Genomic DNA, 13792 nt, shown 5'->3' with positions numbered 1-13792 from the left:
TAATAAGCCAATACCCTTAACAGCTTCTTAAGAACCACCTTTGGTTTTCAATAGAAAATTTGTCAGTATCATAGAGGAAAATGCTTATCTTCTAATTTGCACTGGAATGTATATACTTTCTGAGTATATCTGAAGAAGAAAAATTTGGAGATAAATGATGATTAAGCTAAACATCTATATGTGGAACATAGAGAAAACAATATGAGAGAGGTGAACAGTCCAGTTAGAGAATCCACAAGGCTGAAAAACATCAAGTAAAAGATCTCCATAGCTTGAAAGTAAAAATAAGTTGTGGCAGTGTCTTGTAATGTTAAATATATTGTAAAATTGAGATAAGCCATTGTTTTCAGTATGATTACAGTGATTTTCTTCATTTTTAAAATAGTTTCCAATGGGTCCTGGGTCAGATGGTCCCATGGGTGGATTAGGAGGAATGGAGTCACATCACATGAATGGCTCTTTAGGTAAGGCTTTTCAATTTGATGTTTAGAATAAATTCATAACAAAACCTTAATTCTACCTAGTGCATATTACAGTTTCCAAAGTTCTTCCATAGCCAGCTACTCATTTTTAAATACTTCAACTTTTACCTCATACAGATAGTTTAATTGACATTTTATTGGTTATAACTGTAGATCACTTGAAGATCAGAAGTGTGAGAATTGTTCTAGTTCATATTCACAGTTATTTACTTTAACCTATAGAAATCTCATGTCTTACCATAAAAGGAGACATTGCTGCTGTGGGCACGTGTCATGCTTGCCCAACCCAGAAGGCTGCAGTATTCTTGCAGCTGTTTGTTGTTGTTGTTATTGTTGTTGTTGTTGTTTTGTCTCTAGAGTTCTGTGGACACAGTCTCAGAAGAATCTCAGTTCTCTCCAAGAATTTCTTAATTTTGTTTTTGGATTTTTATGTTTGCCTCCTTTTTAACATAAAATTGTTAATCATATTCTGGATAATTTGAATGATTCTCTTTTAAGAGAACACTGCCTACATTGTCTTCGTGATAAAGACCATTTCAAGTGACTGATGGTTGAAAACATACTTTATAGGCCAGGCGCCATGGCTCACATTTGTAATCCCAGCACTTTGGGAGGCCGAGGCAGGCAGATCATGAGGTCAGGAGATTGAGACCATCCTGGCTAACATGGTGAAACCCCGTCTCTACTAAAAATACAAAAAATTAGCCAGGCGCGGTGGTGGGTGCCTGTAGTCCCAGCTACTTGGGAGGCTGAGGCAGGAGAATCGCTTGAACCCGGGAGGCGGAGCTTGCAGTGAGCCGAGATCGCGCCACTGCACTCTGGCCTGGGTGACAGAGCAAGACTGCATCTCAAAAAAAAAAAAAAAAAAAAAACTAGCTGGGCAGGGTGCTGGGCGCCTGTAATCCCAGTTACTCAAAAGGCTAAGGCAGAGAATCGTTTGAACCCAGGAGTCAGAGGGTGCAGTGAGCCGAGATTGCTCCATTGCACTGCAGCCTGGGTGACGAGCAAAACTCCATCTCAAAAAAAAAAAAGAAAAAGAAAACATACTTTATAAGTGATGCCTTCTTACCATATGAAGCTAAATAGCTGCAAGGTGAATGAAAATTTTAACAATAGTGAGAAATACAGACAAGTGTTGCAAAATGGACTAGGTCATACCACATACTATAGTTATATTTGTTTTGCATTCACATAGGTCAAATGCAAAACAAAAAAACACTTTTTATGTTCGTATATGTTTAAGTAACATGACCATAAACTAATTTAAAAGTTGACAATGGGGATGGGAGTTATGATTTTTTTTTTCTTTTGGAAAGGGTTCATCTTTTACTTAAGTTGGAAAAAATATGTTCATGAGTAATTTAGGTTATATATAAGATTTCACTTCCCGACCTAAGGTCAGGAAATGCCTCCCTCTGATACTTGGAAAATCTTTCAATAACCAAATTATTTGCAGTACACTAAGAGACTTTTGAGCTTTTAAGAATTCATACTTATTTTGCCTAGATTGCAAAGTCTTGATTTGCACTGTCCAATTGCACTAGCCACTAGCCATGTGTGACTATTTAATTTTAAATTAAGTAAATTTTAAAATTCAGTTCTTCAGTTGCACTGCCACATGTCAGGTACACAGCAGCCACTTGTAGCTAATGACTACCTTAATGAACATCACAGAGAAACATTTCCATCATTGCACAAAATTCTATTGGACAGCACCATTCTTGAATTTTATTTTCCAATTTATTGCAAAATAATTCACTTTGCAATATTGTTATTTGTAGAACCATTCACAAAAAGATGATATTTGGTAAATAGTTAAAAGGCTCTCATTATCTTAGTCACCAGAATAGAATTTTCAGAAGATTTTTACCTATGCTTGGCAACTGGCTCATTGCTTTCTATAATGAACATTACTGTACATATTATATATACACATATATATGATTGCATATATGCATTCGGTATTTAATAATTTATTATGCCTATTTATTTACAACTTATATTAATAAGCCCTAGCTTTATTTGTAATGTTGACTGAATGCTATGCTACTAAAATGTTATATTATTTTTATGCTAGGAAAATTAATTGTCAGAAGTTAAATTGTTTAAAATAAAGTTAATATTGTGGCAAAGATCTGATTATTGTTCTGTTACCTAATGTATGATTCTATTTCTTTTTTTTTTTTTTTTTGAGACAGTCTCACTCTGTCACCTACACTGGAGTGCAGTGATGTGATCTCGGCTCACTGCAACCTCTGCCTCCCAGGTTCAAGTGAATTTCCCGCCTCAGCCTCCCGAGTAGCTGGGACTACAGGGGCCTGCCACCATGCCCGGCTAATTTTTGTATTTTTAGTAGAGGTGTGATTTCACCGTGTTTGGCCAGGCTGGTCTCGAACTCCGGACCTCAAATGATCCACCCACCTTGGCCTCCCAAAGTGCTAGGATTACAGGCGTGAGCCACTGCACCCGGTCTCTATTTCTTACATAAGAAAAGAAATTCATATTGATTGTTTATTTCTTCCAAGGATCAAAATAAAAATATAATATTTAAAGACATTTTTAGTTTTGAAGAATTGTCATGAATATTCATTGCTATCAACTTTTTAATATTAATACTTAGCTTTTGGTTATTATAGTAAATTATGGTTTAAAATATTGTCAAACATTGTCGCAAGTGTTCATTTTATATTTTATCAGATTTACAGCATCATTTTCAAAAAATATATGTAGATATCTCTATATATGTTATATATACATTTTTAAATTTTTAATTGGGTAGGGTATATAAAATGGTCTTTCTAAAATTTCACATTTAGGAATCTATGATAACAACAGTTTTCTTCATGCTTCCATAAAAAAAAAACGATTGGGAACTAAGGATAGAACTCCTTGCATTTTCCATCAGATGGTACTGATTCACTATACTGTATAAAAGAAGAGGAATTTTTTCAGATTTAAAAACTCAGGAGCTATATGCTGGAAAATACATATAGTATACTTCACTTATTTAAATTAAAGGAGTGTTTAATTTATAAATGAAATCTTACCTAATAAAGGCTTTCTTTTTATATTTTGTTTCAGGCTCAGGAGATATGGACAGTATTTCCAAGGTGAGTGCTGTGTATTCTGTGTTGTTTTTAATCAGAATTTTATTTAACATGGAACTCATTAAAATTATTAGAGTAAATTTACGAATTTTGTTCTTGAACAAGAGTTTGAAAGTAGAAGACCAGGTATAATTAATTGGAAGTTAAGAATATTAATGCATATTATCTGTGGGAAAGGGTAAAATAAGTCTTTTAAGAATGTTCCTAAATATGCTAAGATTCATTAATAGGACATACTATACATTATTAGTTGACACCCAAGTAATAACAAATTTAATCACATTAAGATGTTACTTATTTGTAAAGCAAACTTACAGAATTTAGATAATCTTTTGAAAATGTAAAGATGTCTAAAGAAATGTGAGGAGAGATAAATTTGAAAAAGTGGTTATTATATATCATAAAGGCATTGCATTTACGTATCCAATTCATCTTGCAAATCTTCATTAGGAAATGCTGATTTCCACAATAATTATTCTAGTCCCCAAAATAGAGTAAGAAAGTGATTAGAGGAAAATTATATTCGTACAAGCAGGAAAGTGAGCCTTCCATTAGTATGTGTTTGCATTTTCCCTCTTTCAATAGTTTGAGTATCTAAAATGAATCCTTTACTAAAATGCCTTATATTTTTGAAGAATAGTTCCTAAATACTATTTAGGTCATGATGAATTTAAAATAGTTCTCAGTGAATCAAATATATTTAGAATTACTGATGGGAACTAATTATTTGCTACCACCAGAATGATTCTCTTAGAAGTCTGCTCTATATCAATAAATAGAGAAATTCATTAAGGGATGACTTTTTGAAATTCTATTTCTAATTTATATTTATGTATAATAATGTAAAATTCCTGCTGCCAAGAAAAATAAAATAAGATTGATTGAGCTAAAAATCATTTTAAATTAAGACTTCAAGTTCTAAAAAATATTTAATTGGAATTCTGGCATTATAACTCTACTGCCTGGCTGCTTTGCCTCACAAGCTCCACATGTATTTTGGATGTCTATATTTAGAAACAATCATGTTTACAAAAAATCAGAAAGGTCTTTTTTTTTCTAAAAATAGATAAATATTTATAATGAGTACTAGCTTACCTTTGTGAGAAATGGTATTTATGAGGCCTGTTTTCAAAACAAAATTGCCTATGTAACTTTATTAGAGCCTTCTCTCTGGGCCTTTGCAAGTCAGATTACCATGATTGTGTTGGCTCTCAGATACCTCTTTTTTTTTTTTTTTTTTTTTTTTTGATGGAGTCTTGCTCTGTTGCCCATGCTAGAGTGCAGTGGTGCAATCTCGGCCCACTGCAACCTCCCCTTCCCGGGTTCAAGCAATTCTCCTATCTCAGCCTCCTGAGTAGCTAGGACTAAAGGCTCATACCACGAAGCCTTGCTAATTTTCGTATTTTTAGTAGAGATGGGGTTTCACCATATTGGTCAGGCTGGTCTCGAACTCCTGACCCCATGTGATCTACCCGTCTCGGCCTCCCAGAGTGCTGGGATTACAGGCGTGACCCACTGCACCCAGCATCTCAGGTATTTCTAACAATTTAATTAGCCAAATTGTGCTTTGTGGTCACCAGTGAAATTTCTGATGCCATATTTGAGAAGCATATTCTTGTATCTACAGATGGATTCTTAATTACAGAAAAGTAGGATCATCAAGATAGTTTTAGGCCATCTCCCTAAAATTTTTACTAACTACCTAAAACCTTTTACATAAGATAGATATAAACAAAATTCTGTATGGGAAAGTACTTTATAATTTATAAAAGTTTAAAATTTTTAAAAAGTCATAATGATTAATTAAATGCCATCTTCTAATCTGCCCTCATATCAGATCGGTTGCTATTCCTTCTGTGCTTACTTTCCCATGCCTGTTTTCGGATACAAGTTTTTCCACCATACCATGCCCACTCCTCATAACATTCTCTTGCCTAATGATGCATTGCTTGTGCTCTAAGCAGTAACTGACCATCCAGTGTGTACTTGTGTGTGCTGGGTATTGCCTTCTGCACTATGGGGACATAGAAAAGTCTTCTTAACAACAAACACGATCTCTGTCCTCAAGTGGTTTATTCTTAGGCAGGAGTTCCTTCATTCAGTAAATGTTGACGCCTACTGAGGCATTATGCTGGGCTCTAAAAATCCAAAGATAAACAAGATATGTTCTCTGCCCTCAAGAAGTTCAGTTTAACGAGGAGATCAAACGAATTGGATAAATAAAAATTTTTACAAAGCAAAGTTAATATGCATTTAAATTACATAAGATTTATCCCCCTAGTCATAAACATGCCACTTAACAATGTGCTAGAATTGACTAGTTAAATCTGCCTTCAAATGAGTTCCTACGCATCTCATTTCTACACCACCTCTACTCCAGGTTCATTGGCTCTGGGCTCTAAGCTGGCCGACCCCTGGGTGATAGTACCATTAGTGCCTGTTGCACCATAGTCACTTTTTCTCTTAAGAGCATCAGTAGCATCGTGCACATTGTATACCCCCTGCCCCAGATTCTTTCTCTCCCTGCCTCTTTCCACTCCCAGACTGATTTTTTCAGTCTTTGACTACGAGGTATACACAGTCACAGTCACTAACTCGCTTTTCCCACATTTCTTCCTTTTCCAACACATGTTCAGCTATCTCAAGAAGCTTTCTTCTTCCTTTTGTTTTCCTGGAATCATTTCATTATCATTCATTTCCATCCTGTTTTTTTCGAGTAATTTTGTTTGTGAATCAAAAGACAGCCTTGACCATTATCACTTACTTTTTTGTGTCTTTTTTTTTTTTTTTTTTTTTTTTGAGTCAAGAGTTTCGCTCTTGTTGCCCAGGCTGGAGTGCAATGGTGCCATCTCCTCGGCTCACCGCAACCTCCGCCTCCTGGGTTCAAACGATTCTCCTGCCTCAGCCTGCCAAGTAGCTGGGATTACAGGCATGTGCCTGTAGAGACGGAGTTTCTCCATGTTGTCAGGCTGGTCTGGAACTCCTGACCTCAGGTGATCCATCCACCTCGGCCTCTCAAAGTTCTGGGATTACAGGTGTGAGCCACTGCGCCCGGCCATCGCCTGGTAATTTTCAAAGTCCCTCTTAGGTCTCTAGCCACAGCTCTATAGTTCTCCAGTTAAATCTGTATTTTGTCAAGCACCAGTATCACATATTTTTAAAAAAAAAATTTACTCCATTTTAAATGTTGTGTATAAGTACTACTTCAATTGTTTTTCTACTTTTTATTGCATAGATACTCCATTTTATCCATTTTATATGTAAGATAAATAAAGAGTACTGAATTGAGAATCAGAAAGCCTGATGCTACTATAGTACTTACAAGTTGCAGGGACACGTTACTTAATCTCTCATAGGCATAGTTTGCTTAGCTGTAACATAAAGATTTTAGTTCATTCCCTGCCTACTTCATAAAATTGTTGAGAATCGAGTGTGAACATATGTTAAGGGCTATGAAGTGCTATACAGACACTAAATATCTTTCTTCTCATTAGCTATACAATCTTTTGTGGACAAGGCTAGGAACTCACACTATCAATTGCACTTGGATGGCACTGTTTCAGTAAGCAAAATGAATTCAAAGCTTCCAATGAAGTTTCAAAATTATTTCTTGCTCAGTTGAGCATTACCTAGTAAAACTCATGTGCCTCTTTCTCAGAATGCAGAATTTATATTTGATTTAGAAAGCTTTTAAAGATGATATATGAAATTCCTTTCAGCCCTTTAATAACTGAGGGGTCACCCATTTAATCAATGAAACAAAAATCCTTTTCCTTGGAGTTGGGGTTGAGGGTAGAGAGAAGTATATGGTTTGTTTTCTTTCTTTTTTTTTTTTTTTTTATTGATCATTCTTGGGTGTTTCTCGCGGAGGGGGATTTGGCAGGGTCATAGGACAATAGTGGAGGGAAGGAGGGAAGGTCAGCAGATAAACAAGTGAACAAAGGTCTCTGGTTTTCCTAGGCAGAGTGTTTGTGTCCCTGGGTACTTGAGATTAAGGAGTGGTGATGACTCTTAACGAGCATGCTGCCTTCAAGCATCTGTTTAACAAAGCACATCTTGCACCGCCCTTAATCCATTTAACCCTGAGTGGACACCGCACATGTTTCAGAGAGCACAGGGTTGGGGGTAAGGTCATAGATCAACAGGATCCCAAGGCAGAAGAATTTTTCTTAGTATAGAACAAAATGAAAAGTCTCCCATGTCTACTTCTTTCCACACAGACACAGCAACCATCCGATTTCTCAATCTTTTCCCCACCTTTCCCCCTTTTCTATTCCACAAAACCGCCATTGTCATCATGGCCCGTTCTCAATGAGCTGTTGGGTACACCTCCCAGACGGGGTGGTGGCCAGGCAGAGGGGCTCCTCACTTCCCAGTAGGGGCGGCCGGGCAGAGGCGCCCCTCACCTCCCGGAAGGGGCGGCTGGCCGGGCGGGAGTCTGACCCCCCCCACCTCCCTCCCGGACGGGGCGGCTGGCTGGGCGGGGGGCTGACCCCCCCCACCTCCCTCCCGGACGGGGTGGCTGGCCGGGCAGAGGGGCTCCTCACTTCCCAGTAGGGGTGGCCAGGCAGAGGCGCCCCTCACCTCCCGGACGGGGCGGCTGGCCGGGCGGGGGGCTGACTCCCCCACCTCCCTCCCGGACGGGGCAGCTGGCCGGGCGGGGGCTGACCCCCCCACCTCCCTCCCGGACTCAGAGTCTCGCTCTGTCGCCCAGGCTGGAGTACAGTAGCACAATCTTGGCTCGCTGCAACCTCTACCTCCCAGGTTCAAGAAATTCTCCTGCCTCAGCCTCCCGAGTAGCTGGGATTACAGGCGCACACCACCATACCCGGCTAATTTTTGTATTTTTAGTAGAGACAGGGGTTTCACCAGGCTGGCCAGGCTAGTCTCAAACTCCTGACATCGTGATCTGCCTGGCTGTGCCTTCCAAAGTGCTGGGATTACAGGCATGAGCCACCGTGCCCGGCCGGTTTGTTTTCTTAGAAGAAAAGCAGCTAAGGAAATTCTGCAGTTCGTATTAACATATCTCACATTTATATTTCTGAGTTTGAAAAACACATGTATGTGAGAAGACAAGCTCTGATCATATCATGTTTAATAAATTACCAAGAAAGTATTTTCAACCTGAAGCATTCTGACCCCAAGAATTTTGGCTCCAGTTAGAGATCCTACACCATTCACAAGGGAGCTGGTAGATGACTAGAGATCTACACCATCATCTCATGTGTGCTGACCTGAGTTCTAGCTCATTTGTGCCCACTGGGAGAATGACTGACAGTTTGTTCTTTGAGGGAGCTAGCAGAGTCAAAACAACACTCTAGAAAACTCACTATTGGCAGCCTGTGAGAAAGCAATTCAAAATCCACTACTTAGAATAATGTCATTATTATTTTATTCTAATTACAGGCAGAGCCACAGTTTCTATAAATGTTCACTTTTTTAATTTGAAAATGGAAAAATTTAAAATTTTAAAAAGTTTTAAAAGGTTTGAAACAATTTTTGAGGATGGGAGAAGGGATAATAACTTACTAATTAAGAGAAGATATGAGCTGGGCACAGTGGTCCACACGTGTAATCCTAGCACTTTGGGAGGCCAAGTGAGGAGGATTGCTTGAGTCCAGGAATTCATGACCAGCCTGAGCAACATAGTGAGATCTCATCTCTGCAGAACATTTTAAAAATTAGCCAGATGTGGTAGCACACATCTGTAGTCCTAGCTACCCAGGAGGCTTTGGCAGAAGCATCACTTGAGCCCAAGAGTCCAAGGCTGCAATGAGCTGTGATCTCACCACTGTATTCCAGCCTAGGTGACAGATACCATGTCTCAAAAAAAAAAAGAGAGAAGAAGATATGTAATACCTGCTAGAAGAAATCAGACCAGGAAGTCCAACAGGGTTAAACATGGCAGCCAGAGGAAATTGTGTTTGTGGTGTATTATGTGTGTGTGCATATATGTGTGTGTGTATATATATATGTATATAAATATTCATGTGTGACATCATAGCTTAAGAGAATTTCCAACTTGAAGAAATGATAAGTGAGAATGTAATAAAATTTCTTGAAGTTGGTATCAGTATAATCCTAACCATATTTTTTCAAGCAAAACTCTTAAAGTAGGGAATAAAGTACATATTCATTGAAATAACTGTAACCGATGGGCCTAATGTATCTAAAAGTAATCTTGTACTCTTTTGTGCTGAAGCAAGTAGAGTGCCTTTTTGACCAACCTAAGTCCTTTTTATACATCATATTCTTGCCTTATTGATGAAACCTACTGGACATAATACACAAATACAGCTACAGTTAAATGAAGCATACACACAATTCATTACCACCTACCCTCATTACCTGTTCTGGGATGGTTTTTGGTACCGCTATCTTAGCTGTCCCTCAGATGCCAATATTGAATATGCCCTTTAGCCCATATCATCATGTCACTCAGCGATTACGGACAGCACAATTTTCTTAAGATTTCCCATTGAGGAGCTTCTGTTGTTTTCCAATTTTGCAGAGATTACTCTAGTTAAAAACAAACCAAAAAAACCCAATTGTCCTATCACTTCAGGCTTTTCAAATACGGTCCAGTAGGCTGAATAGGAATAGGTTTCAGAGATCTGATTTTATCTCAGTTTTGTATGTTGAATGTATCCTTTCAATCTTCCTGTTAGTGTCCTTAAATACCCGTCCCCACCACACATACACACACACACAGAAGAGTATAATGCTGAGCCACCATGCTATGAAGAGGTTGCATGTAAAACAGAAATAATAACACTGGAAGTATTTTGTGTGTATTTAAACATTAGCAATGCAATGTTACTTTCAAATTGTAAGTATTTAAAAATCAATATTTTGAGTTAGGAATCAGGTTTGAAGTTAGCCAGACTTTCAGAATTATAAATCAAGAAATGATATATGGCAAATGTGCAGCAAAGATTTAAAGCACCCTAACTGAGTCTGAGATACGCTGCTTCTCTCATGGTACCTTATATACCACAGGGGGTATGAATGTTACACAAGAATAAGAGGGTTCATTTTACTCTTTTGTTTGACTGTGTGAAATATGCAGCTTCCAACTGCATCCTTGAATTTTCTTATATATGTGTGTATATATTAGATTGTATTTTATTCTAGTATTACCAATTTCTCCATTATATATAAAGTGACAGAAATCCAAAAGAATTTATAAATTATAAGTAAATCTTACAATATTTTTTATAAATTCATTTTCCTTTTTGAGCTAAGTCAGCATTATCATTCCTGTTTTCAAGGTACAGTTTATTTAACCTAATAACTTTAATAATTAATGAATTCTAAAATAATGCAGTTAGTTAAATTTTACTTAATTTTTTTCCCAGGAAATCAAGATATTCAGATTCATTTCAAAGTATAGTTGCTTTTCTATATACTTGGATAACTAACATTTTTCAGAGAAAAATTTGTCAAAAAAAATAGAATCCTCTTTATGCTATTAAAGTATATTTCCCAAGTCCTTGGGGTTTCTTGACACAGAGAGCTCCAATGGACTTCAGAGGATCCTTGTTCTCAGATCCTCCCTGCGGGGTGCACAGCAAGACAAGACACAGTGTATTTCTACCAGCTCATCTATCTATCTCTGCTTTACATTTTAACCATTTTCTTCTGGGAATAACTCATTCATGAAATGTTAATTTTTATGATACAAGTTGTTGTAGTTAAGACAAAATTCTCTGAGCAATTTTCTTTAAAAAAAAATCTAAAAACTAATTCCAAAACAATGTAAATAGGAATGGCTTAGGAAAAAGTAAGCCAGTAAGTAAGTAAGTTATTTCTTCCATTTGAAATAACAACTAAAAAATGTTTAACTCTGAAGTTTTTTTTTACAAGTTAATGAATTGGACCTTCAAAGAATTACAGTTATACTACTGTATAAACATGGTTTATAGTCCAATGTCATTCTACATTTCCTATTGATGTGGAGTATCAGGTATCCTGCCATGGCTAAAATTGTGCGGTAATAATGAGACTAGCAAATTTAAATAGAATATGAAGCAACGCACTGCTAACTTGGTGTTCGATTAGATTGCTAATAACAGTCATTTTATCTTCCAAGGAAAGTTCCAAAGTAAATCTACTCTTAAACTAATGATAGGAAAATATTCTAAAGCAGTTTTCTTTTGAGCCTCCTTTTCCTCTAAGAGTACATAATAAATTCTCAAGTCCTAAGGTGTCTCTTGTTCTTAAGTACAGTTGTTAGCTATCTTTCTTTTTTCCTTAAAGTTCATGTAAAAATGGTTGAAATAGTGTTATCTGTATACTGCATGTAGAATTAAAAGGAAATGTTTATTAAAACAGTGACCTTTCAAAGTTTGGTTAGTGAAATGACTAAGGGAGTTATTGTTCCATCTTGCCTTATCAGTGGGTAGGATCTCTTCATCATGCCCCTGCTGGGAATGTTTTAAACTCTCCAGTGTTTTAGGAACTCTATAAGCTGAGGGTGGGAAATTGAATAAATATTGATTCTGAAGCTAAGAAAATAGTTGTGGTAGGTTATTGGGGGTTTTTTTATTTTTTTTTAAATTTTCATTTGGGAAGGCATTAGTACTTGTCAAAGTGCAAAGAATGAAATAGAATACATGGTAGAAGTCTAAGATTAAAATTAGAAGTATGCTTTGTCCTTAGGGATGCTGTTTCAATATTCGAAACAGTACAGTGCAAGAGGGAAATTAAAATTTTCAACAATGCCTTGTTTTCTAAATCTTGTTTACAGAATTCTCCCAATAATATGAGCCTGAGTAATCAACCGGGCACTCCAAGGGATGATGGCGAAATGGGGGGAAATTTCTTAAATCCTTTTCAGAGTGAGAGTGTAAGTATTCCCTTGACTATATTATACTCAAATTTTATTTCTGAAGCTCTTCTGCTAGAATAAATGCATAAAGCCACTTTTACTGCTGTTTATCTAGAGTTCAACAGGTTTATCTTTTAGATAAGAGAAACTTTAAGTGGAATATCTTTGAAAATAATTTTTAAAACAAACTTTTTCTTTTTTATTCTGTGTACATAGTTAGAAAAACCATAATAATAGTTTTCTCATTGAGAACCTCCACTGTAAAGGAACAAACTGGAAACAGGTTGCCTATTTGATACTTTTTATAAGTTTTCATGCTACTAAAATGTCTCAGGTTGCTGCAAAACTAGGTGTGTTTCAGTGCTGTCCTCAAAATCTAAAAAGTCTGTTCTTACTTTATATAGTAGACCTCACTGGACTGAAGGCCAAATTGGCGGTCTGTTAACCTGAGCTGAATACCCAAGTCACTGCTTGCGTGTGATTGTACTGTTACACAAAAGTTCATTCCATATCTCCATAGAAGTAGACAGAACCAAAAAGAGAAGCAATAAAATTCATTCATTTAACAAGCAATTACTGAGCACTTACCACATGCCAAGGCAATATGCTAGGTATTGGAGAGACCAAAAAGACAAAATGGTGCCTTTTCTCAAGGAGTTCTATGTAATATAATGATTTTTTACATTAATATTTCACATTAGAAACCCCAATGGAATTTTTTAAAATACAGTTTCCCAGAACTCTCCCTAGACTTAGTGAATCAGAATTTCCAGGAGTGGAGCTGGGCATACTTGAATGTGGAAAAGCTTTGTTGCTGATGCTGGTGTACATTCTCTGCTAAGAACCACTGAACTGGAATGTAGCATAAAAGATTTCAAAACCCAAATGAATTTCATCTTCACAGGATTCATAGCATCCTTAAAATTTCTTACGGAGGACCTACCAAACTGCAGTCAGAATCATGAGAGAGACTACCCTCATTTTGCCCAACTCAGCATTTACCAGAGGTGATACCATCAGAATTTGAAGCACTGGCTAATAGCACGTCTACCTTTATACAGAGTGGCTGTTCCATTCCCAAAACAGAATACAAGATTGAGTGCTCTGTGGATTCTTGTAGTTCTGATATCCACATGGGACCTTTGCAGGGGACAAGACATCCCCTGTTTTTAGAGTTCGTTTCTGTTAAAATTATGCTGATCTGTAGTTTACTTGCAGGCAATATATGATTAGTGAGGACAAATAATTTTTTATGTGTAACAGTTTACAGTTGAAAAAAAAATTTAGCCTGTCAGTGTTAAGGAAAAACATGAGAAGCTACATAATTTAAGTCATAATGCTTAAGATTATGGGAATTATTTTTTAGATCCTGG

The 13792-nt window shown here is 36.9% G+C and overlaps 1 protein-coding gene across 91 annotated transcripts in view, besides 1 other annotated feature; it reads left to right on the top strand.

Annotated features, from left to right (window-relative positions):
* Positions 1-13792, top strand: part of SSBP2 (single stranded DNA binding protein 2) — a 339004-nt gene that overhangs the window by 310786 nt on the left and 14426 nt on the right. For 71 of the 91 annotated variants that reach the window (NR_174563.1, NR_174559.1, NR_174539.1 and 68 more), the window contains 3 exons: positions 386-464; positions 3564-3592; positions 12339-12437. Coding sequence is in view for 52 of the 91 variants with exons in the window: in XM_047417066.1 (XP_047273022.1) it covers positions 386-464; positions 3564-3592; positions 12339-12437 (207 nt within the window). In the remaining 39 variants the exon portion in view is untranslated. Of the gene's footprint in view, positions 1-385; positions 465-3563; positions 3597-12338; positions 12438-13792 lie in introns of all 91 variants that reach the window. The other 20 variants (NR_174532.1, NR_174534.1, NR_174535.1 and 17 more) reach the window with 7 other exon arrangements.
* Positions 7293-7978: an enhancer, noted in NCBI's record as "NANOG-H3K27ac hESC enhancer chr5:80728863-80729548 (GRCh37/hg19 assembly coordinates)". NCBI's record gives its function as "activates a minimal SCP1, AML or CMV promoter by ChIP-STARR-seq in naive H9 embryonic stem cells {active_cell/tissue: H9 hESC(naive)}" and the evidence as "EXISTENCE:reporter gene assay evidence [ECO:0000049][PMID:30033119]".

The sequence above is a fragment of the Homo sapiens genome, chromosome 5 (genome assembly GCF_000001405.40).
Source record: "Homo sapiens chromosome 5, GRCh38.p14 Primary Assembly".
In the NCBI taxonomy this organism is placed as follows: domain Eukaryota; kingdom Metazoa; phylum Chordata; class Mammalia; order Primates; family Hominidae; genus Homo; species Homo sapiens.
The sequence above is the reverse complement of the archived record's forward strand: the minus strand, read 5'-3'. Positions and strand labels throughout refer to the sequence as shown.